At 41.4% G+C, this 25,953-nt stretch overlaps 1 protein-coding gene across 10 annotated transcripts in view, besides 1 other annotated feature; it reads right to left on the bottom strand.

Annotated features, from left to right (window-relative positions):
• Positions 1-25,953, bottom strand: part of PDGFRA (platelet derived growth factor receptor alpha) — a 68,953-nt gene that overhangs the window by 24,923 nt on the left and 18,077 nt on the right. For all 10 annotated transcript variants that reach the window (NM_001347828.2, NM_006206.6, XM_006714041.4 and 7 more), the window contains 8 exons: positions 14,506-14,566; positions 11,911-12,228; positions 9,396-9,656; positions 8,274-8,404; positions 5,863-6,034; positions 5,582-5,771; positions 2,575-2,690; positions 803-929 (listed from right to left, as the gene is read on the bottom strand). In NM_001347828.2, coding sequence (NP_001334757.1) covers positions 803-929; positions 2,575-2,690; positions 5,582-5,771; positions 5,863-6,034; positions 8,274-8,404; positions 9,396-9,656; positions 11,911-12,228; positions 14,506-14,566 — 1,376 coding nt within the window. The remainder of the gene's footprint in view (positions 1-802; positions 930-2,574; positions 2,691-5,581; positions 5,772-5,862; positions 6,035-8,273; positions 8,405-9,395; positions 9,657-11,910; positions 12,229-14,505; positions 14,567-25,953) is intronic.
• Positions 16,656-16,882: a silencer, noted in NCBI's record as "fragment chr4:55122608-55122834 (GRCh37/hg19 assembly coordinates)". NCBI's record gives its function as "represses an EF-1alpha promoter that drives an FKBP-Casp9 reporter gene in an ReSE screen in K562 erythroleukemia cells {active_cell/tissue: K562}" and the evidence as "EXISTENCE:reporter gene assay evidence [ECO:0000049][PMID:32094911]".

Below are 25,953 nucleotides of genomic sequence, written 5' to 3'. Positions count from 1 at the left end.
GTTTACATAGCAGGCAGAGATAATCAAGTTTAATAAAATATGACTACCATTCCCCAATCTTGAACCTATGAGCAAACTGAACAGTTCAACTTCAACCATATTTAATGATCTCAATCTCCCACCCCTTCAAAAAGGCCTGGAGCCCTCCCTTCTCAACACTCACACTGGGAAGAGCCCCTAGGGTGTCACTAGGGTTGCGATGATCCTCAGATTGAGTTATAAGACCTAGAATCCTGCTCCACACTGGAATCTACTAGAAACCCCAGTCAACATCCAAGTCTGTTCTTAGCCCTAGAAGTTAAGATGAGGAGTCTCTGTCTAGAGGAAGAAACAACTGAGGCTTCTGAACACAACCAGTTACCATGGATGAAGTGTAAACACATTGCTCATGTGCCCATTTAAGAAGGCTGAGGACTCGGGGGAGGGAGGAGGGAATGGCGAATTAACCCACCAAACAGCAGGTGGGCAGATAAGGGACTAAGCAGTCACATTTATGTTTACATGCAGTCCGACTACCAAACAAAGTTCACCAAATAAGATATGTGAGCCAGGGTAGTAAAAATCTTCTTAGAACAGTGGTTCTTAAAATTCACTCTTGTTTTTAGATTGGAGACATTTTGAAGGTCTAATGAGAGCCCTGGACCTTCTTCTCACAGCTATTCATGACAAAAGATACACACCCTGAAGCTATCACACCCAAAACCCTATCTTATAGTCAATAAGTAAAATGTATTTGACATCATTTGTGTCAAGGGAGAAATATTCTGACCACGAAAGAAGAAGACACATCTGTTTTCCATACTTCTTAATATCTTTGCATATCATCCACTCAATATCAGGAAGCGGCGTGCCTTCAGCTGTGCACCTCACCGTCTGTCCCCCAGTTGAGCCATGGTGATCATCGACCAAGTCCAGAATGGATGAAGGAACTGCAAGAGGCAGAAAGAAGTCAGAATGGAATAGCTCGTGTCCCAGAACATATGAGACTACAAAGTGGAATATGAGTTCACAACTCATCTACATGGCATTCAAAACACTCCGGAGGGGCTGAAACCAGTTGTACAAGTAACACTCCAGTTTAGACAGACCCACATGGTTAGCAGCATTTTCACAGTTTTGGTGTTTTGAGATTTATCCCTGTGATGTTTTTAACCTGGAGTGAAGAAAGTGAAAAGTCCATGGTTGTGATGCCTCACACATGTAGCCCCAGCTACTTGGGAGGCTGAGGTGGAAGAGAAACACTTGAGCCCAGGAGTTTGAGGCAAGCCTGGGCAACATGGTGAGAAGAAAAATGGGAAGGGAAGGGAAGGGGAGGGGAGGGGGGGAGGGGGGAGGGGAGGGGGAGGGGAGGGGGGAGGGGAGGGGAGAATGAAGGAAGGAAGGAAGGAGAGAAAGGAAAAGAGAGAGTGAGGGAAGAGGGAAGGAAGGAAGAAAGGAAAGAAGGAAGGAAGGAAAAGGGAGAACAAGGGAGGGAGGGAGGGAGGAAAAGGAAGGAAGGAAGGAGAGAAAGGCAAAGAAAAGAGAGAGTGAGGGAGGGAGGAAGGAAGGAAGGAAGGAGAGAAAGGAAAAGAAAAGAGTGAGTGAGGAAGGAAGGAAGGAAAGAAAAAGAGAAAGGAAAGGAAAAGAGAGAACAAAGGAGGGAGGGAAGAAGGAAGCAAGGAAGGAAGGAAGGAGAGAAAGGAAAAAGGGAAGAGGGAAGGAAGGAGAGAAAGGAAAGGAAAAGAGATAACAAGGGAGGGAGAGAAGAAGGAAGGAAGGAAGGAAGGGAGGGAGGGAAAGAGAGAGAGAAAGTCCCTTGGTTATTTGGCTTGAAAGGCAAGGAGGTTCTTAAAATTATATTATAGCTTAGGATTCAACTAATGGATTCAGCTAAAGTATAATCTAAAGCAGCATTTACCAAAATGCATCTGTGGTATGTTATTAGGTTTTAAAGATTCTTTTCTAAATCTGTGGTCAAATAAATTAGATATACGGTGTTGCTTGTATCACAGGTTTTACTGTGAGGATCACATGAGCGCACCTCAGACAGCACCTGGCTCATGGCTGGGACTCTGGATAGGTGCTGAGCCTGAATGTAAACAGACTTGGGCACTCCCTTCTGGTAAGGACCACTGTACAATGTCTATAAGGAAAACTTGTAGCAAAACTCTCCAGAACAATCTAAGGTCATCTGCTTCTCTCTTCTCAGATTGAGAAGCAGGTGCTAAGTAAGCTGGTGGAGGCCAGGTGCAGTGGCTCACACCTGTAATCCCAGTACTTTGAGAGGCCAAGGTGGGAAGATAGCTTGAACCCAGGAGACCAGCCTGAGCAACATGGCAAGACTCCATCTCTACAAAAATAAAGCTAGCTGGTGGAGCCTAGGGATTCCTCGCCTACTCTAGAGTAACCCAGAACCTCCCAGAAATACCTGAATTCATGAGTCCAGCAGAGGTATTCCCGATATGTGACATATGCAGACACTGCTTCTCCCCTAAGTGCTGCTTTTCTTCCATGACCGGGGAGAAAAGTGCCAGGCTTTCCTTGGAAGACACTCATCTACAGAGCTAGCATTATCTTTATACTCCCTTTACATACCTTGAGTTAACAGTTCAAAAGTATAGCTCTTCACAGCATCTTCATTTTGAGCTACAATAGTATAATGGCCACTGTCTTCTTCCTTAGCACGGATCAGCTTTAATTTGCTTCGATACCTTTTAAAAAAAGGATTTTGTTTCAACAAGCAGTAGCTAAGTAAGTTCCAATTGTTTAAACAATTGTACTCTTCAATTTAAGTTTTATTTTTACTGTAAAAAGTAAAGTCATCTTTTTTTCTTGTCCATATCATCTCTTCTGGAATTCTCAATATATAGTGCACACACTGAAGGTCTGGATCATACACACAATTCTTACAAGAGAAAACCAGACATTCAGAGATGAGCAATGGCCATCTCCAAGAGCTATCAGTTCAGCCACGGCCTGACTTCTGAATGAATAAACACAGCCTACCAACTTTTCTTTAAAAAAATAAAAAATAAAAACCTTTGATTTTTACCTTTTTTAAAAAATACTTGCTTCCCCTAAATATCCATCATTTAGGTGGTTCAGCCAAAAAATGGAATATCACTGGAGGATAGAATGAGGACACTTTCTATGTATTTGTATGTAGCGGTCTGCAGGATATGACAGTCCTACTTGCTTGTATTTTGCTTAAAGAAACTCTGGAAGGTTTCATAAGAACCTAATGAAACTAATGAAGATGTTTCCCTGTGGGGAGGAGGGGAGAACTGGGCAGCTGGGGACAGGAGTACAGTGAGGCTTCTTACAATGCATTCTCTTTTTGTTTGATTATTTTTCAAGCACGGGATTCTATCACCTATTAAAAAAAAGTTATAGGCTGGGTGTGATGACTCACACCTGTAATCCCAGCACTTTGGGAGGCCAAGGTAGGTGAATCACTTGAGGTCAGGAGTTCGAGACCAGCCTCACAAACATGGTGAAACCCCCATCTCTACTAAAAATACAAAAAAAAAAAAATTAGCCAGGCATGGTGGCACATGCCTGTAATCCCAGCTACTCAGGAGGCTGAAGCTGAAGAATCGCTTGAACCCAGGAGGCGGAGGTTGCAGTGAGCCGTGATCGTACCGCTGCACTCCAGCCTGGGTGACAGAGCAAGACTCCATCTCAAAAAAAAAAAAAAAAGTTAGAAAAAATATGCCTCTTCAAAAAAAAAAAATATATGTCTCTTCAAACTTTATTAAAGAGAAACTTCCCCAAAAATATTTTACATGGATTATAAATGACATCTGGTTGTGTGTGTGTGTGTGTGTGTGTGTGTGTGTATGTATGTGCATAAATATAGTATGTGCCCATTTGATTGTCCTTTATAAATCATCACAGTTGAAAAAGCAACTGGAATGGAGAAGAAAAGCATTGGTCATGGAGTGAGAAGATCTCGGGTATTATTACAATGCTCCATGCCTCAGTTTCCTTGTGTGTAAAACGTGATAATTGTACACATAGCACAGAGTCATTGTGAGAGTTAATTAAAGGAGATTGTATGTGTGAAAGCATTTCATAGGCTCCAAAACACTTTGCAAATACTGGGGCACTCAGACCTACGAAGACAGCAGGCTGGACCATACTGGGTGTGCTCCAGGACTGGATTTCCTTAAGAGAGTACCCTGGGGCACACTAGGATGCTGATTACCAAATTATCCTCTGCTGTTTGTTCTCTTCACTTCTTCGGCCAAGAAAACCACTGGTTTTCTTGCTCCAGGAAAGCCAGATCCCCCATCCTGGAGTTTTAAGCTCCAGGAAGCCAGATCCCCCATCTACCATGTTCATCTTTGTATTCACTGGCTCATAACAGGAACTAAAAAATCCACGTTGAAGCATCCTTGAATCACTAAAAGGAAAAGGCAGCTTTCCAGAACCACTCAGTTGGCGAGCCTGTCCTGCCACTGCTATGGATTATGGCTTGCAGACAGTGCTCACACACGTGTTGGAGGTGTTAGCTGTACCAGGGTTGTTACCCTATTCCTCTCTGGCTGCACAGCCTCATGGAAGTTCCTCGTGGAAAGCTGCCCTCCTTGTTGTACACCTTCATTTTGTGTCAACAGAAAGCCTTCCAGATTCAGTATCCCACTTCATTTTTCCTTTACTATTCTATAGAGGCTGTAAAATTCCATTTTCTCAGACATTGCTTCTCAATTACACGTGGAATTTAGTTCACAAAGAAGAAAGCAAATCCTGAGGTGAATGGAACTGATGAGAAAGGCTCTGTTCTTCCTCCTGAAGGCTTGAAATACAGGACTGACTTTGTCTTTCTGAGATGATTTCTGACAAAAGTATAGGGCTGGTTAGCTGGGTGCTGTGAGATGTATCTTCTGACTCTTGGGTTCTAATCACAGCTTAAAACCTTAAGAGGCCTCATGATATCATCTGATCCAATTCCTTGCCTTGAAGGACATAAGGTATTGTTTATCCTACATTGTAGATGAGGAAACTGTGGCTGAGGGGTGACTCATTCAAAACTCCACCACCAATTAAGAGATGAGAGCAATCTACCATTCTGATTAAAAGGTAGGGATCCAAGCAACTCACTGCACATCTCTCTCCTGATTAGCCAGGCTCTACTCTTCTTTCCTGTGGAGTCCTCAATTAGGGCAAATGGGTTCCAGATTAAGCCTATGACGTTAACTTTCACGTAAGGTGATGTGATAACTGCCTCATGGGTGTAATCACCATATCTGTCTACTTGCGATATGGATGATGAACATCAGGGAATATATTCAATCTATTCAATCCTGGTGAGTCCAATTTTACTTCCTTTCTTCCACCCTAGCTGAATCCAGTGACCTGTCTTTCCCCAGGGGCCAGAGCTTTTAGTTCTTTCTTCTCATCTTCTCATTAAATACTTACCAGCATACTAATACCACTTTGCAATGTTATCATTAAAGGGATGTGATTTCAAGCATCTCTTAACTCAGATTGTTACATTTTCTAGACTGACTTTGGGTCTGGGTTGTAAGACACACACAAACCTCAGTCCGCCTCTGATGCACACTAAAAAAAGGCATACTTGGGCAGAGAGTTTCTTTACCTTATTTCCTGAATCTTTTCCACATCAGTGGTGATCTCAGTGAGATTTTCAATCAGAGTCAGATTGTTTTTCAGCCAGGATATCCTGGGAGGTGGGTAGGCCCGCACCTCTACAACAAAATGTTTGACTTCATGCAGGTTGACAGCTTCCAACTGGCTGAAGGTGGGTTTGATTTCAATGAAACCTTTCTCTGTACAGGGAAGAGTTTCCATTAAATAATGATTACCACATATGGATCCCGAGCAGCATGGACAACTGACATTTTAGAAAGCGGAATGTACCATGGACAGAAATAGTGACTTTCTTCATTTCTTTGACCTCCCTGGTAGCCTGGCGGGCAGCACATTCGTAATCTCCACTGTCTTTCACCGTGGCCTCGGGGACCGTCAAAGTGTACACCAATTTGATGGATGGGACTTTGATTTCTTCCAGCATTGTGATGCCTTTGCCTTTCTACAGCAAAAGGGGAAGAAAACCGACTTTTAAAAAGCTCGCTCCTAGGAGTGAACTCTAAGATAAACTATGGACTCTGGATGATATGGATGTGTCAATGGAGGTTCAGCAGTTATAACAAATGGATGGTAGGGATGTTGACAAGGTGGGAGGCTACACATGTGTGGGTGTAGGGAACACATGGGAAATCTCTGTACCTCTCAATTTTGCTGTAAACCTAAAACTGCTCTAAAAGATAAAACCTAAAGAATAAAAGCTAGCTGCTTAGAAAATCATGAGATTTTTTATTTTGTTTTTAATTTTTTTAGAGACAGAATCTCACTCTGCTGCCCAGGCTGGAGTGCAGTGGCACAATCATGGCTCACTGCAGCCCCAACCTCCTGGGTTCAAGTGATCCTCCCACCTCAGTCTCCTGAGTAGCTGGGGCTACAGGCTCATGCCACCACACCTGGCTAATTTTTAAAAATTTTTGTAGAGACGGAGTCTTGATACATTGCCCAGGCTGATCTCAAACTCCTGGCCTCAAGTGACTCTCCTGCCTCAGCCTCCCAAAGTACTGGGATTACAGGCATGAGCCACCACACCCAGCCCATTTTTTAAAAGGACAGTTAATGACACATATAAGGTGTTTGTGCTATACTGCTGAAGGATAAAGAATGTAATAAATTACCATTTAAAGAATAACACCTATTATTCAATGTTTATCTATGGATAAGAAATACTTAAGAGCTTTATCTCAGTCAAGCTCAGAGGCTCACATGTGTAATCAATCCCAACACTTTGAAAGGCCAAGGTGGGAGGATCACTTAAGCCCAGGAGTTTGAGACCAGCCTGGGCAATGTAGTGAGATCCTCATCTCCACAACAAAAAAAAAAAAGAAAAAAGAAAAAAAAAAGAAAGAAATACAAATGAAAAATAAAAGCTTTATCTCCCTAAAATATAAACAGTGATGCTCTGGGAAGTAGCCTTTCCTTTGTCTCTCCATATTTTACAAAGTTTCTGCAATAAACCTGCATTACTTTTATAATCGGAAAAAACATACTGTATGAAACAATACTTTGATTATATATTTGTAAGCCAAATAGCATGTACTTCGGTTTGGAAAAAAAAATTGCTGTCTCCTATAAATAGAAAGCAGTGTTTATGTGTTAAGGATTAAAGTCAATCAAGTATGAACAGAAGAACCAAATCACTTCATATTTCAGGGAAGATGTACATTTGTTGGACTGTAAATGTCCCTTCACTGTGTGAAGTTTGTGAGGCAATAGTGAAAATGCCCAACTTCCTATCAGATGCCCCAGGACAAATGAAAAGCAGCGGCAAATGCATGGGAGAGAGAAACGGATAAAAGGAGGGAGATCAATGGATAGAAGGACAGAAAGCTGTCAAATGCCTAAAAGAACAGGGAGCAGAAATTTACAAGTCAGGAGTGGAGGCAAGAAATATATATATCTCGTTTTTGTTCTCCATAAGAATATTAGTCATTCCTGCATTTGGGCATTCATAGCCTCTTACACATGGCTGTCTTACACACTTAGTGACAATGCATTAGAATGACTGAGACTCTGTAAATCTCCAGTGACCAAGAGGCAGCATGGTGGCTCCCCTTCCCCACTTCCATCTCCCCTCCTCCCTTCTTCCTGCAATACTGAACCAGCTTCTGGTACAGTGCTTGGGATTGAGCAAACTTCATTAAACCTTTGCTGAATGATTACATCATAACGGTTCACTGAAGGTGAGCCATGCAAAGGTCAGGCACATAGGAGGTGGAACAGGAAGACACATTGTCCTGGGTGCCAACAAGGCAGAAGAGGAAGGGGTGCGGGCAATCAACACTATCAGATGAATCAAACCTCAGGGCACAGAAGCCAAGACGATGAGAATCAATCACTGTCTCCGCAATAGTAAAATCCAGTGGTTTTTTTGCTCTTCTAATTTTTTGGTTGATATCTTGTAGCCAGAGAACCTTCCTATTTCTGTCTGACTTCTGAAAAAGAAGGCTTACGGCACACTCTTTATGTATTCTGAAGGGCCTGGTCCAGGAACTATCATTTCAAACTCTCCCATTGATCAAGGAGTCCTAAAGGCCATTTAATCAAATGTGTTCATCCCAGAGGTGGGAAGCTAAGGTCTAGAGAAACTCAGTGATGTGCCCATCAGTGACAGACCGAGCTCAAATGCAGGTCTTCTGAGCCCTGTTGCTCTGCTCCAAGCCATTGCACGTTTTGAGGGTACCTACCACTTCTCCAGGGTAAGTCCATTGAAGGTCAACCACCTCATTGTTAAAAACAGCACAGGTGACCACAATCGTTTCCCCTGACTTATACACGGTTTTAAGAGCTTCCATTTCTAGATCCAGCTCTGATGTTGCTATAAAAAAGAACAAATACAAGGGCCTAAAAATCCACAGGATAGCCAGGATCTTATAAAGTTTGGGTTTTTTTTTTTTTTTTTAAGAAAACCCTGAAAAATAATTTGCAAACCAGTTTGATCAAGATAAAATTTGGAAAATCTCACAAGGCTTGATTGTGAGATGGTGTACAACAATTAGGCATATAGTTATAATACAGAATTACAAAATAATAACAATAAAAATAAATTCCAATCAAACAGAACACCGCATTCCTCAGCAGTGGGTTAGTTATGGTTATACTCGTCCACAATCTCCTTGACTAATAAATTTATTCATTTAATCAACCAACATTTGCTGATCCACACTGCTCTAGACACTTTGTTTCTATCCAATTGTTTCTTCTCTTCTTCTCTTCCACTCTGCTCCTCAGTTATTCTCAGTACTTTCCCAGAACCTAGCACAGTGCCTGGCACAAAATTAGCTGTGCTCTGATTTTAAAACAGTGTACTCTTGCTGCTACCCATTCCTCCATGTAATATAGTGTTCAGGAAATATCTGTTGACCTCAGCATGTATTATACTTCCCCAAGCGTACTAACTGTGGACATCAAAGGGTTGAAGTCTAAACTACTTTCTTCAAATCACTTTTCTTAAGTTACTAAAATTAATCTAGGCATCTAACCCCCTGGGTGTATGTTTGTTTTTAGGGCCGCCATAGTCAGGAATGTGAATGAAAGTAAGAGGCTTATGTAAGAAAAGAATTCCTTACAGTATTTTGAAGTCAACTGATGAAACATGAAATCTTGCATGGGTAATCAAGCTTTGGCCTTTAGTAATTTTAAGCTTATTATTATAGCCACAGACATTGTATTAGCTGGGGTCCTAAATCCCCAAATCAGAATTTAGGATCACCAGTGATGATGATTTAAAAAAAAAAAAAAATCCTACACGCACCTTATGATTTTGCCTGTTACTCTTATTTAAAGAAGGAAGGAGATGATACAAGTACCTTTTAAAGCATAAACATTAAATGGGATGGTCTGGAACTTCTTTCCTTTGACGGTGGCCTCACAGATATAGGGCCCTACAGTGAAGGTCCCATTAAAGCCCTGTCTGCTGTCGTAGGAGGCAGGTACCACCCCCTCACTGTTGTGTAAGGTTACAGGAGTCTCGGGATCAGTTGTGCGACAAGGTATAATGGCAGAATCATCATCCTCCACGATGACTAAATAATCCGTCATTCCTAGAGGTACAAAGGCTACATCTGGGTCTGTGGTTTAAAAAAGAATGAAGACTCTATTAGACATTAATTTCACCTTTACACATAAATCCAGAAAAACTATCCCACTGGCATTATTGATATTAGGTATGAAGTTCACCTTTACACATATATCCAGAAGAATTGCCCCACTGGCATTAGTTATCATGACAGCTACAAAGTGATTTTTAAGTATGAATAATACCAAATTGCCTGTCTCCTGATGGATAATACTGATGATAAATATCAATACTGGACAGGAGTTGTGGCTCATGCCTGTAATCCCAGCACTTTGGGAAGCCAAGGTGGGAGGGTTGCTTGTGTTCAGGAGTTTGAGACCAGCCTGGGCAACATAGAGAGACCCTGTCTCTACAAATAAATAAATAAATACTAACCAGGAATCTAAATCAAAATTTAAACAACTAAAAACAAAAATTAACAATAAAATAATACAGTCCAACTCTGTTTAAAACAGGAAAAAATATTTCGAGTTTTATTATGAAATGCTTTTAAAAACTCTTACCACCTATAGTCAGTATGATTCAAAAATAGCATAGAAATCTGTTTATTAAAAAGTAATCCTTTGAGAAATACATAAAATTTAAAGAAGGAGAAGGAGCCTGAGAATTTCCTTTCCAAAAGAAAAACAGCTACTTAAGCTACGGTGGTAAGAAGTTCTAACAGTCTCAAACATCAGCTGCAGAAAGGGCCCCTACGTCTGCATGATTGCGAATAAAAAGATCTCAGTCAGACAGCGATGCAGGGGCTACTTGGATGGCATCTGTGCTGGAACAAGAAGAATTTTTGGACAATCTTACACGGATTAAAACTTCAGGGACTCGTGTGCCTTTAACACATTCACGTTCCTACCATTCTCTTCACAGCAGGGGAAAATCCCTCCACACCTAGAGGATTTTCCTGAAGGAATCTAAGTGTGAATGAAGTTGGAGTGACATTCTAAATACCTTCCCTTTTCAAAACAAAGTTTTTGGTTTTTTTTAATTGTTAAGAAGGAAGGTTCATATGAATAAGAGTATCATGAAAAAGTAAAGAGGGTCTAGATCCCTGGGGACACTCGTAGTTATAGAGGGTAGGAAGAGGAGCCCATTAAAAACTGAAAAAGAAAAGGCAGAAAGGTAGGAAGACACACCTATGCCAAAACAGCAAGGATGGCAAGAATCATAAACAGTTTAGGTTTTGTTCTAAAACCAAGGATTCTAGCCATAGTCCTTTTTAATTTACCCAACTGCATACTGAAATTGCCATCACTTGTGCTCGACCCTTTTGTCCTTTTAATTAAAATGCAGGAGTAGGCCAGGCCCAGTGGCTCGTGCCTGTAATCCCAGAACTTTGGGAGGCTGAGGTGGCTGTGGATCACTTGAGCCCAGGAGTTTGAGACCAGCCTGGGCAACACAGTGAAACCCTATCTCTACAAAAATAAAAATAAAAATTAGGGCACAGTGGCTCACGCCTGTAATCCCAGCATTTTGGGAGGCCGAAGCAGGCAGATCACTTAAGGTCAGGAGTTCAAGACCAGCCTGGTCAATATGGTGAAACCCCCGTCTCAACTAATATAAAAATTAGCTGGGCGTGGTGGTGCATGCCTGTAATCCCAGCTACTGGGGAGGCTGAAGTGGGAGAATCGCTTGAACCAAGGGAGTTGAGATTGCAGTAAGCTATGATGATCATGCCACTGCATTCCAGCCTGGGCAACAGAGTGAGACCCTGTTACCAAAAAAAAAAAAAATATATATATATATATATATATATATATATATATGTAACTTTTTTAAAAGGAAAAAGAAAATTCCTTCCAACTCTCCAAGAATAAATGTATGTTGATAGTGAATCTGAAAAATCGAGTGTTTATTTGGAAGATATTATAATGAACTATCAGCAACTCCAAGACAGGGCTTACCTATTAATTTTTGTGTACTCAACACTTAGCCCAGTGCTGGACACACTGTGAGTATGTGTGCAACTTGAATGAACTGAATAGAGATGAGTATATTTCAGATTGTTTATACAGTATCAATACAGGACATGTCATAACAAAGATGACTTTCCAAACTTAATACAGCTCTGAAATGCTAACAATGAATATTTCTTGATAATATTACAAATGATTTTTGTGTGTGTTCGCTTACATTTTTCAAACTTCCCGCAATAAATATTAATTATTTATATATATGTTTAAAACCTTAGTACATTTAACAGGAGAGACAGGAAGAGAAGAAGCTTGGTCCTGGAGACCCAGCCAACTCACCTGGCACATAGATGTAAATGTGCCTGCCTTCAAGCTCATTCTCTTCTGTCTGAGTGTGGTTGTAATAGCAAGTGTACAACCCTGTGTGGGCCGCCGAGGCACTGCTCACTTCCAAGACCGTCACAAAAAGGCCGCTGTTGTTTTCTTCATTTCTGATTTCCACATCGGAGCTCTCTTCTTCAGACATGGGGTACTGCCAGCTCACTTCACTCTCCCCAAAGCATCTCAGAGAAAAGGATGAATTCAGCTGCACAACCTTTTCATTTTCATTTGGAAGGATAGAGGGTAATGAAAGCTGGCAGAGGATTAGGCTCAGCCCTGCAAAAGGAAGCACGCTCTGAATAGGATGCAGTCAGAAAGGACAGTCTCATCCCGACAACTGAGAGAAGCAACAGTAGCAGCTTAGATGAACAATGACCATTTCTACACAAAAATCCGTTAGCCTGGATGCCCATGAAAGCTCCCCCATTATAACAGCCACTGCATCTGCTGAGAGCAGCAAATGTTCCAAATAGCTCCACCAAGCCCCACTAGATTCACCCCTCCAAACACTCAAATAGACAGAGGATGTCTGATTCCAATTCCATATTTCAGACTCTTATGTGTAACCATAAAATATCCCAAGATGGCACGGGCTCAAGCACATATGGGTTCTTTATGGTTCACAATCACTGCAAAGGTTTCCTTTAGTTAAAATGAGATGAGGCTGGGGCGCAGAGGCTCATGTCTATAATCCCAGCACTTTGTGAGGTGGAAGTGGGAGGATCGCTTGAGCTCAGGAGTTCGAGACCAGCCTGGGCAACGTAGTGAGACCTGGTCTCCACAAAAAATAAAAAAATAAAAAAATTAGCCAGGTGTGCTGGTGTACACCTGTAGTCCTAGCTACTCTGGAGGCTGAGGTGGGAGGATCACTGGAGCCCAGGGGATTGAGGTTGCAGTCAGCCTCTGCACTCCAACCTGGGCAATAGAGCGAGAGACCCTGTCTCAAAAAAAAAAAAAAAAAAAAAAAAAAAAACCCACATGGAATAAGAATGGAGGCAAGGACACAGACTGAAGAAAACACAAAGCACATCTGTGCTCAAGAATTCCACATCTTCCATTTCTTATAGCCCTCGGGCATGCCGTCTCTCCCTCATGACTTCCAGGGCCAAAGCAGGATGATGTGGATTTATTTGTTTATTTATTTCTTTATTTTTATGAGATGGAGTCTTGCTCTGTCACCCAGGCTGGAGTGCAGTGGTGCCAGATGATACGGATTTTAATTCACAATTGGTAAGTAAAACCCAAGAGTGAAAACTCTAAGTTCATCTTCGAAGCTCAAATTTCAGTCTCGCTTATTTAGACTGAAATTGCACTTACTCCTTTTGCAATAGAGTAAGTGCAATGCAGCAAAGGAACTGAAGGTTTGTGGTCATTCTGGATAACGTCCTGTAGTTTTCTATTTCTTTTCACTCTTTTGGACTGTGTAAGCAGAGTACAGATAATAAACCCATGGAGCACAGAACTTAGAAAACAAGAAACCCGAGACTGATAGAAGAGATATTATGACTTAATTATTAATTAGTGATTTGTAATCTCCCTTGGAACCTGGTGTGAGACTCCCACCCAACTTCAATATATGACCACTATAATTCCTAAAGCTTGTTAAGATAGGATTTGTAAGTACATCTGGATCACCTATTACTCTGTAGATGGGGTATACTTAGTGGAGCTTAGAACTGTTGAATCTCTGGTCTTGCTCAATTCTACCATATCCAAATGGGTAAGACAAAGACACTAACGGGCTGAGCTAACTCCTCAGAATAGAAGAGCACTGGTTTCATGGCGAACATCTGCAGTGCATAAATATCTGGAGGAAAACTAAGACAGTCCAATACACACTTCAACAAATTACCCCAATGATCCTTTTGGTGGGAAAGTTTTTAAGATTTTCCAAGAGCCAAACATTCATCTATCAATTTGATTCCTAGAGAAGATAAAGGTGACTCTGAGATTTAGAAGCAATGTAAGCATCTTTCCTCAAGAGAGTTATGATTTAAGACAAGTATGATTTCTTGGGCAAGAATTTTCTATTATTTATTTCCTTTGAACATTTTTTTTAAATGAGGTCTTGCTATGTTGCTGGAGTGTGGTGGCTAGTCACAGGCATAATCACAGTGCACTGCAACCTTGAACTCCTGGCCTTAAGGGATCATCCCACCTCAGCTGCTCAAGGGGCTGGGACAACAGATGTGCCACCTCCCACAGCTGACCATTCCTGAATTTATCTAATCCAGCTCTAATAGAAGCCTTGTCCTAGGAAAAGGAAGAGAGTAGTAAGTAAATTTAGACATTATTACTAACAACATTTCAATGCCAACATTATATATGTACTAAAACTGCCACTGGAGAGCATTCCTTTTGAAATGGAGTAAGTGCAATACAGCAAAGGGAACTGAAGGTTTGTGGTCATTCTGGATAACGTCCTATAGTTTTCTATTTCTTTTCACTCTTTTGGACTGTGTATGCAGAGTACTGGTAATAAACCCATGCAGCACAAAGCTTAAAAAAACAAGACACCCAAACAAGGAACTCAGAGAGGACTGGGCTCCGTACCTGTGAGAAGACAGCCTAAGACCAGGAACGCCGGATGGGAAGTCCCCATAGCTCTGGGAAACTAGAAAAGTCAAAAGTCAACAGAAACAGCATTAGCAAATAGAAACAACCCTGGAGCCTAGTTCTCTTTGTGTTTTGCACAACAGAAAATATTAACAGCATCATTTTAGTCAAACATGTCCCAGGTTAAAATTCAAGGTTCAAACAGTAAGACGCCTGAAAGATGAAAGAATCAATGGGGCCCCAAGATCATGGCGGGAGCTGCCTGAAGCCAAAACCTTCTGTGATTGCATGCAGTTTTCAATGGTCCTTTAAACCATTTATATTAAGAATTCAAACAACAAAGAAATAAATACATATATATATATTTTTTCTCAGCTTCCAAACTAGAGCTGATTTTCACGTTTCAATTAATAAAGAGGTCACACTCTCTACAACTTTTAGAAAAGTTGCTTGGGTTGGGGTAAATACCTTAATATTTCAGTGCCATTTTGACCTAGAATTTCTGAAACTTCCAACAATGTGTGTCATTTACAGGAGGCCTTTGTGATACTGAGGCACATACCAGGCTCAGACCTGGGCACCCAGCCGGGGTTCTTGCAGGAACCCTTGGAGAACCTGCTGGATCCCAAGCCAGGCTAAACAGGGCATGGAAAAGCAGGTACAAGCATGAAAGGAGGAGCAATAGAGAAAGTGAAGAAGGGAGAGAAAGTGGGAGAGATAAGTGTGACTAAATTCCTGTGCAGGGGGTAGGAGGGATGCAGTAGACTCTAGGATGAAATTAGAAGGAGGCTGATCATTCATTTTCATGTTAAAGTAAAAGCACCCGTGCAAACCAAGTTCAAGAACTTTCTAATTTTCTACAGCCAAATCTGGGAATGAAGAAGTAGAGAAAGAGACGGAAATTGAGTCAGACACAAATAAGGCAAAAAGTGGGCAAAAAGTGGGAAGGGAAAAGAAAATTAAAAGAGAAAGAAACTAAAAGGGGGCTCCTGTTGCCCTGGGGTAAAACCACTGAAGGGACTATTCTGGCAAACTGTGAAAAGACCTCTCTTCTTTATCTCTTCCCCATTCACTTTATTTTATCTCCCCCCTCATTTCTCCCTTGAAGTCACTGATAGTGGTCACTGGTGAAGTCAGTGAGAAGGAACTGTGAATGAACTTGTAGGTGCTAGGGCCAGTAAGTACCCAGGTATTGACTCAAGAAGCCACACTGAGGGGCCTGGGCAGAGCCCCCAGTTTTAACATAACCCCCCAAAAATCACCATGTTAGTCTTGGCCTGGGATGCACCAGATCCCTAAGTTGCTCCTAATGTCACATGGTGAATCCCAAAATTGGAGATCACCATGGGAGGCCACATGGGTTCTTGGCTTTACCCAGGAAGGAATTCAAGCAAATTTATTAAGAAAATAAAGGAATAAAAAAGGGTGGCTACTCCATAGGCAGAACAGCCACGCTGCTTAACTGAGTATACTTATGGTTATTTCTTGATTATATGCTAAACTAAGGGTGCATTATTCATGATTTTCCCAGAAACAGGGAGGAAATTCCCAGAACTGAAGGTTCCTTCCTTTTTCCACCATATAGGGTAACTTCCTGTCATTAATACAACATTTGTAAACTGTCATGGTGCTGGTGGTATCTTTTAGCATGCTAATGCATTATAATTAGCATATAATGGGTAGTGAGGATGACCAGAGGTCACTTTCATCACCGTCTTGGTTTTGGTGGGTTTCGGCTTCCTTCTTCATTGCATCCTAGGTTTTTGGGGTTTTTTAATTTGTTTATGAAACAGGGTCTTGCACTGTTGCCCAGGCTGGAGTGTACTGGCACAATCATAGTTCACTGTATCCTTGAACTCCTGGGCTCAAGCAATCCTCCCACCTGAGCTGACCCCCATGCCTAGCCCAAGAGCTGGGACTACAGGCCTGCACCACCACACTCAGCTCATTTTTAAAAAATTATTTGTAGAGATGAGGTCTCACTATGTTGTCCAGGCTAGTCTTGAACTCCTAGGCTTAAGCAATCCTCCTGCCTTGGCCTCCCAAAGTGCTGGGATTACAGGCATAAACCACCACACCCGGCCCGCATCCTGGGGTCTTTATCACCCGTATCTTGTGAAACCACCACACCCAGCTCATTTTTTAAAAATCATTTGTAAGGCAAATCGCTTGAACCAGGGAGGCAGAGGCTGCAGTGAGCTGAGATCGCACCATTGCACTCCAGTGTGGGCGACAGACTGAGATTCCATTTCAAAAAAAAAAAAAATTATTTGTAGAGGCTGGGCACGGTGGTTCATGCCTGTAATCGCAGCACTTTGGGAGGCCAAGGCAGGTGGATCACCTGAGGTCAGGAGTTCGAGACCAGCCTGGCCAACATGGTGAAACCCCATCTCTACTAAAAACACAAAAAAATTAGCCAGGCGTGGTGGTGTGCGCCTCTAATTCCAGCTACTCAGGAGGCTGAGACAGGAGAATCGCTTGAACCCCTGAGGTAGAAGTTGCAGTGAGCCAAGGTCATGCCACTGCACGCCAGCCTGGGCGGCAGAGCAAGACTCCATCACAAAAAAATAAAATAAAATAAAATAAAAATTATCTGTAGAGATGAGGTCTCACTATGTTGCCCAAGCTGGTCTTGAACTCCTAGGATTAAGCAATCCTCCTGCGTTGGCCTCCCAAAGTACTGGGATTACAGGCATAAGGCACCACACCCAGCTTGCATCCTGTGGTCTTTATGAAACCATTCCTACCCAACTCCTATCTCATCCTGTGACTACAAATGCCTAACCTCCTGGGAATGCAGCCCAGCAGGCCTCATCCTCTTCTTACCTAGCCCATATTCAAGATGAAGTCACTCTAGTTTGACCTCCTCTGATGCTAACTCATGCAATGGAGTGGGCCTAATAGGACTCAATTTGTTCCATCACTGACTTTGGAAGCTAAAATACGTATACATAATTACTGAATAAACTGTTTGTTGTTGTTGTTGTTGTTGTTTTAAAAAAAAAAGGAGGGAAGGGCGCAGTGGCTCACGCCTGTAATCCCAGCACTTTGGGAGGCTGAGGCGGGCAGATCATGAGATCAGGAGATGGAGACCATCCTGGCTAACACGGTGAAACCCTGTCTCTACTAAAAATACAAAAAATTAGCCGGGCGTGGTGGCAGGCACCTGTAGTCCCCGCTACTCAGGAGGCTGAGGCAGGAGAATGGCGTGAACCCAGGAGGTGGAGCTTGCAGTGAGCCAAGATCGCGCCACTGCACTCCAGCCTGGGTGACAGAGCAAGACTCTGTCTCAAAAAAAAAAAAAAAAAGAAAGGGGAGAAATTCAGCGTTTTCTTGTATTCCTGTATTTAGCCTGAGTTGGGTTTGGGTTGGTTAAACAGGATCCAGTAGATAATAGCCTAATTTGGTGGTGCCTGATCATGTATTTTGCTCTAAGGTGGCCTACATTGCAGAAATCAGAATTCTGCTTTATTGAATGCCACCAGGAAAATGGGAGAGGAAGAAAACACAGAGTGAAAGGTAGCAAGCTTCTAATGGGAAAGGGAGGTGGAGTAGATAGAACAAAAAGAAATCATTATTTACTAAGCCAAAGTTTGCATGTGCATGCTGTGTTTCTGAAGAATAACCCTGTGGTTACTTAGAGCTGATTTTAAGAAGGGGCAGTTGAGGCTCAGAGAGGTTTCGCAAATGACCCAAGGTCACACAGCTGGTGTCAGAGCCAAAATTCTAATACAAGGCCTGTGTGATGCAAAAGCTGTGCCCTCTCCACTTCACCATATGGTCTCTCTCAAGGGAAGGTCAGTGTTTTAGCCATGTCGCACCGCCCCCCACCCGGCCCAGTGCCTGTCCCTCCCCCACAATTTCCTAGGGCAAATTACACAACCCTCCCTTCCCTTTTCCCTCTCTGCTCCTCATAGCAGGAGAAGGACAATTACAGTGCTGTGAACCCAAATGCAATTCACACAATGCTGGCTGGCTGATCGCTTCTGAGGAGCCCGGCATGTGCCTGGGATGCAGGGCTGGTGTTAGGCACAGTGGGATCCAGAGCCAGGCTGGCCAGCCTGATTTACCACAATTAGCAGTAACACTTGTGTGCTTCTACATGTAAATATCAGCCTCCCACTGACAATCCACTCAGCAAACTTCAAAGGAGACCTCCAGAGCCAGCTTGATGTCGTCGTGGCTTTTATCACATTTAGATCCCGTATTTCTTTGGCAAGGCTTGCCAATGATGCATCTTTAAAGCATTCTCGAGCTTAAAAGAAGGGTTCACTGCTTTTCCTGCAAAACCTGAGGAGTGTTTTTCACTGGCCAGACCCCACCAGATTTCCCTGTGTGCATCCAGACATGGTGGACCCACTGCCAGGGAAGATTATTTACTGACATATAAAGTGGGCAATGAAAACAGGCTCTCTGAGCAAGCCATCAGGAGGCAAATACTGAGAATCAACATGTGTTTGTTGCTTAAGATTCCAAACTCCCTTCTCTGATAACAGCGGTTCCCTGGGTAGAAATCTAGGCCTGTTTGTGAAGTTTCATGTCATTACTTATCTATAACTCAGACAGTTTACTCATGCATAATGGCAGTGCTTGCCCCACAGGGAGGTAATGAAGAAAAATGGGAAAGATGGGGACTTTCCTCACCTATTAGACCTGTAGTGAGGCTTTCTGGAAGTGAGTCTTGCTGTTCCTGTCACTTTTTCTACTCTAAATGCTCATTCTTAATTAGTAATGCTATTCTGGAGCTCACCTAAAAGTCAGGTGCACAAATATAAGTAATTGAAGCCACAAATTCTGAGAAACATGGCACTATAAGAATCAGTGAGAACAGGCCAGGCACAATGGCTCACTCCTGTAATTCCAGCACTTTGGGAGGCCAAGGTGGGTGAATCACTTGAGGTCAGGAGTTCAAGACCAGCCTGGCCAACATGGTGAAACTCCACCTCTACTAAAAATAAAAACATTAGCCGGGCATGGTGGCACACTCCTGTAGTTCCAGCTACTGGAAAGGCTGAGGCATGAGAATCACTTGAACCCAGGAGGCAGAGGTTGCAGTGAGCCAAGATCACACCACTGCACTCCAGCCTGGGCAACAGAGCAAGGCTCCATCTAAAAAAGAAAAAAGAAAAAAAGAATCAGGGATAACAACCCCTTTACAGAAAAGAACAATGGATTTCATCTAGATTTCTTCAATCATAATTACTTCTCTCATGCCAACTATGTGTTGAACTTCAGCCCCCATTCTCAATAATCACAGCTCAAAAAGCTTTTGCCATAACTTAGAGAAACAAACTGAGAAAGAGACCCCTGCTCTGTTGACTCTCAGGCAGGTGACTTGTGCTTTACCCCCATCCTCTTAGCCTTCTTATGCTTTCTCTCAGAAGAAAGGATGGAAATCACATTGGACTAGCCACTGATCCCATATCTGACACTCTGTCCAAATCTCTGAACCTCAGTCTCTTCTAGGAAGCACGACTAGTAAGGTCTGATTGGTTGCTTGCCCTGTGACATTATCGTAAGGACTAAATTATGGAGATTAATGGAAAGTGCTTTGGTTTTCATTACTTTTTCTGCAGACTCCCATAATATTTCAGAATGATTACTTCAACTTCTCTTTAACTAAGAAAGTGAGGGATGCCCCAGAAGCCACATAACTTGCCCTGCACTTCCTACCTCTTGGAGACATGGATCTGAACTCTGATTTAGCCCACACCAGCAGTCCACTCCCATGACCCTGTTACCTCCAGCCTGGTGTGGCTATAAAGACCATTCAAAGATGAGCCAATATATACAGTCACAGAAACAGAGAAACAAATGACTTTGCAGCTACTATCCTTTCTCTTTAACAGGGTGCCATCTCCTGCCCTGCAAACAGAAGTAAAGAGCCATTGGACATGACTCTATAACCAAAGGCAATGTGCAAAGGTAGTGTAAACGGACAGTAGGCAATGCAAGGCTCTATTTCCAGAAGGACTAACAGCAAGACATTCTTCTCCTAAAGCCAGAGAGTTGGCTTCTCAATCACCAATTGCACAGTGCATCCCATTGCAGAACCACTGAATATTGAATTTCACCCCACCCTCACATGATTAAAGACCACAAGAGACTCTCTCACAGTCCCAAAAGCCACTGGTGACTTCAAGATTCAGATTTCCGAGGCTCAGTTAATTTCAGCTCTCCTAAGTTAATTCTAACTGTGAAAATTACACATCTTCTTTTTTTTCTGCAGCAAATGTTCTACTCAGTCTCCTAACTTCAGCCCAGACAACCCAAGTGCAGGCTTACACTGATGGAAACTTCTCCCTGTTTTCCAGCAGAGGGTGTGTTTACCAGGACCTCTGCACCCTACCAGAGCCTGTTGTCAGTACAGTGAGGACAAATCATAACTCTGAGTTCTGACAAAAGGTGAAATCTGGAAGATTAATAAGTGTTCAATTTAAGAAAATGTTAAGTAAGCTTTTCCTGCATTCCTACACAAAGAGGACAACAGCAATATATTCCACAACAGTAAAACAAAATCAGCACAATTATCCCAAGTAAACTAAATAAGAAGGCTTTCCATGAACTGGGTAATTGTTAAAACCAAGCTGATATGGGGTCACTAGCCAATTCTAATACATGCCTAGAATTAGAATACTAATCCAGATCTTTACGTTAGCCATCCCTCTTATTTCTTCTGAGCAACAGCCATAGATCACTGGTTGATTCTCAGGAATAAGCAGGGTCTGCCTAAATTGCAGAAGAAACTCAAAAACAACAGACGAGACTAGAATCTAATAACTGGTGTATCATAGTTTTTGAAACAAATTCTCTCTCTAGCTTCCATTTTTACCAAAGACAAATCATAGTGGGACAAATTTGTTTGCCATAAAGTTTTAATCTTATGAAATTTGGCCTGATTATTTGTATAAAGTGCAGCAAAAATAATTATTTGCCACATAGGCTCTTGTTAAAATTGGTTTCGATGGAAATTTAATTTAAAAAGAATCTCACATTAGGCTTCTTAAAGCCTTGAGCCAGCCACAGATTTATCTGTGCCTGCAAATACCTGTATAAGTTGGGTGCATTCCTTTCTTCTTGATGTCCCAAGATAACTTGGGGCTCCTGGGCCTGTCAGAAAGTGACATTCTTCACTTACCACAGGTCAGGAACCCCATACAGAGACTGCATAGACAAAGAATAAGGCCAGTTTTCCATAGTGGCTTTTATTGGCTCTATAAGTCAACTTTGATCCCTTAAAGCAGTCTGTTTGTATCTGAAAGCACACCATTCTAGTCAAAGCCTTCATAAAATAAGCAGTTTCTTTAATTGTGTCCTATTACAAAAGAAAAGATTCTTACTGCACTTAGGCAAATAACTATATTGCTATTAGTTAAGAATACTCCCAAATAGTTTTCAAATTCTGGAGAAATCAGGTAAAAAGAAAGACATATGCTCCAAATTTTGTCCATAGTAGTATACTTTTTTCAATTGTTAAAAGCAGTAAATACTTTCCAAAGGAAAAGTTTTCTTGACTCTGAAAAGCAAAACAGAAAGGATATGCAATGTTTTAAGCAAAAAGTCATTAAAAGATTGTTTTGGTCTTTTATTAGTTTAGTCCATGCTGTTAACTCTTGTTTTGCCTGATATTGGGCCACATTCCTTATGAATATATTAAGTTTCTATGAGAATCCTGGAAGTTTATTTGTGTTTTCTTTTCTGTTTCAATGGCACAATATTCTTTTTCAATTTTTTTTTTTTTTTTTTTTTGAGACGGAGTTTCCCTCTTGTTGCCCAGGCTGGAATGCAATGGTGCGATCTCAGCTCACTGCAACCTCTGCCTCCCAGGTTCAAGTGATTCTCCTGCCTCAGCCTCCCGAGTAACTGGGATTACAGGTGCATGCCACCATGCCTGACTGATTTTTGTATTTTTAGTAGAGATGGCATTTCACCATGCTGGCCAAGCTAGTCTTGAACTCCTGACCCCACGTGATCTGCCTGCCTCAGCCTCCCAAAGTGCTGGGATTACAGTTGTGAGCCATCATGCCCAGCCAATGGCACAATTTTCAAAGTTATCAGAGGCTTGCATTTTAGAGTACCCATCAGAGTCCTATAGCTGATTATAAACCACCTTTTGAAAAGGATTAAAACAAGACAATTGTCTGTGGGTGACAAAAGTCTTAGGACAGCTGATTAAAGATGCAATTGACAAAGAAATTTGGTTAACTCTGTAGCACACAATAATGTAACATAAGAACTATAATTATGACTGATAATGTACACTAAGTCATATCAGAATTATAGGAGTTTTGCATAATTTTGGAACATATACCAATAACACATTTATATAAGTATAGTCCAAAGAAAGCCAAATAGCATTTTATATTTGAAAGTGCTTCCTGTATGATTTTAATATATCTAATAAGCCAAATATGTCACTTTTGGACTTTAGGGGACCTAATATCTAGAAGGACTAATCAGGTCAGAAAAAGACTTACATTAGAATTTCAGTTTGGAACGTTTGTCAAATACAAAAGGTTTAAACAGTTGATATTACAAAATAGAATCCCAGGTCACCATAAAGCATTTATTTAGCCAAAATGATAACTCAAAGATTTCAAAAAGGTAAAAACTTTTACTCATTGATATAGGGGAGACTTGGGTTTCCAAATGATCTGTCACTTTTCTCTCCCTTATTTTTCCTATAGTTTATTTAAAAAGCAAATAAAAATCTTTCATTATCTTGTAATAATACATGAAAATCTTATTCAAGAGAGAAAGCCACATTTCACGTTTGCATTAGTGTAGTATTAATGTCAAACCCAATTCTTAATAAAACTTTATAGACAAATCTTCCCAATCTTAACCAGTTTGACCATAAGGTAAGATTCTCATAAACCTTTTAAACCCTTTACAATTTTCTGTTACAGAGTAGATCAGTGCTCTAGAAAACTCTGTTGTGCTTTTTAATCCTAATGTTTAACTTACAAAAATAATAATAATAATATCCCTTTAACTTTATTTTTTAAAAATTTTTTTATTTTATTATTATTATACTTTAAGTTTTAGGGTACATGCGCACAATGTGCAGGTTAGTTACATATGTATACATGTGCCATGCTGGTGTGCTGCACCCATTAACTCGTCATTTAGCACGAGGTATATCTCCTAAAGGTATCCCTCCCCACTACCCCCACCCCACAACAGTCCCCAGAGTGTGATGTTCCCCTTCCTGTGTCCGTGTTGTTCTCATTGTTCAATTCCCACCTATGAGTGAGAATATGCGGCATTTGGTTTTTTCTTCTTGCGATAGTTTACTGAGAATGATGATTTCCAATTTCATCCATGTCCCTACAAAGGACCTGAACTCATCATTTTTTATGGCTGCATACTATTCCATGGTGTATATGTGCCACATTTTCTTAATCCAGTCTATCATCGTTGGATATTTGGGTTGGTTCCAAGTCTTTGCTATTGTGAATAGTGCCGCAATAAACATACGTGTGCATGTGTCTTTATAGCAGCATGATTTATAATCCTTCGGGTATATACCCAGTAATGGGATTGCTGGGTCAAATGGTATTTCTAGTTCTAGATCCCTGAGGAATCACCACACTGACTTCCACAAGGGTTGAACTAGTTTACAGTCCCACCAACCAAATAGTTTACAGTCCCACAAGGGTTGAACTAGTTTACAGTCCCACCAACACTTTTACACCAACAGTGTAAAAGTGTTCCTATTTCTCCACATCCTCTCCAGCACCTGTTGTTTCCTGACTTTTTAATGATTGCCATTCTAACTGGTGTGAGATGCTATCTCATTGTGGTTTTGATTTGCATTTCTCTGATGGCCAGTGATGGTGAGCATTTTTTCATGTGTTTTTTTGGCTGCTTAAATGTCTTCTTTTGAGAAGTGTCTGTTCATGTCCTTTGCCCACTTTTTGATGGGGTTGTTTGTTTTTTTCCTGTAAATTTGTTAAAGTTCATTGTAGAGTCTGGATATTAGCCCTTTGTCAGATGAGTAGGTTGCAAAAATTTTCTCCCATTTTGTAGGTTGCCTATTCACTCTGATGGTAGTTTCTTTCACTGTGCAGAAGCTCTTTAGTTTAATTAGATCCCATTTGTCAATTTTGGCTTTTGTTGCCATTGCTTTTGGTGTTTTAGACATGAAGTCCTTGCCCATGCCCTATGTCCTGAATGGTAATGCCTAGGTTTTCTTCTAGGGTTTTTATGGTTTTAGGTCTAACGTTTAAGTCTTTAATCCATCTTGAATTAATTTTTGTATAAGGTGTAAGGAAGGGATCCAGTTTCAGCTTTCTACATATGGCTAGCCAGTTTTCCCAGCACCATTTATTAAATAAAGAATCCTTTCCCCATTGCTTGTTTTTCTCAGGTTTGTCAAAGATCAGATAGTTGTAGATATGCGGCGTTATTTCTGAGGGTTCTGTTCTGTTCCATTGATCTATATCTCTGTTTTGGTACCAGTACCATGCTGTTTTGGTTACTGTAGCTTTGTAGTATAGTTTGAAGTCAGGTAGCGTGATGCCTCCAGCTTTGTTCTTTTGGCTTAGGACTGACTTGGCGATGCGGGCTCTTTTTTGGTTCCACATGAACTTTAAAGTAGTTTTTTCCAATTCTGTGAAGAAAGTCATTGGTAGCTTGATGGGGATGGCATTGAATCTATAAATTACTTTAGGCAGTATGGCCATTTTCATGATATTGATTCTTCCTACACATGAGCATGGAATGGTCTTCCATTTGTTTGTATCCTCTTTTATTTCATTGAGCAGTGGTTTGTAGTTCTTGAAGAGGTCCTTCACGTCCCTTGTAAGTTGGATTCCTAGGTATTTTATTCTCTTTGAAGCAATTGTGAATGGGAGTTCACTCACGATTTGGCTGTTTGTCTGTTATTGGTGTATAAGAATGCTTGTGATTTTTGTACATTGATTTTGTATCCTGAGACTTTGCTGAAGTTGCTTATCAGCTTCAGGAGATTTTGGGCTGAGACAATGGGGTTTTCTAGATATACAATCATGTCATCCGCAAACAGGGACAATTTGACTTCCTCTTTTCCTAACTGAATACTCTTTATTTCCTTCTCCTGCCTAATTGCCCTGGCCAGAACGTCCAACACTATGTTGAATAGGAGTGGTGAGAGAGCGCATCCCTGTCTTGTGCCAGTTTTCAAAGGGAATGCTTCCAGTTTTTGCCCATTCAGTATGATATTGGCTGTGGGTTTGTCATAGATAGCTCTTATTATTTTGAGATACGTCCCATTTACATACCTAATTTATTGAGAGTTTTTAGCATGAAGGGTTGTTGAATTTTGTCAAAGGCCTTTTCTGCATCTATTGAGATAATCATGTGGTTTTTGTCTTTGGTTCTGTTTACATGCTGGATTACATTTATTGATTTGGGTATATTGAACCAGCCTTGCATCCCAGGCATGAAGCCAACTTGATCATG

Source organism: Homo sapiens, chromosome 4 (genome assembly GCF_000001405.40).
Source record: "Homo sapiens chromosome 4, GRCh38.p14 Primary Assembly".
In the NCBI taxonomy this organism is placed as follows: domain Eukaryota; kingdom Metazoa; phylum Chordata; class Mammalia; order Primates; family Hominidae; genus Homo; species Homo sapiens.
Note: the sequence above shows the minus strand (reverse complement) of the source record. Positions and strands in the feature narration are given on the sequence as shown.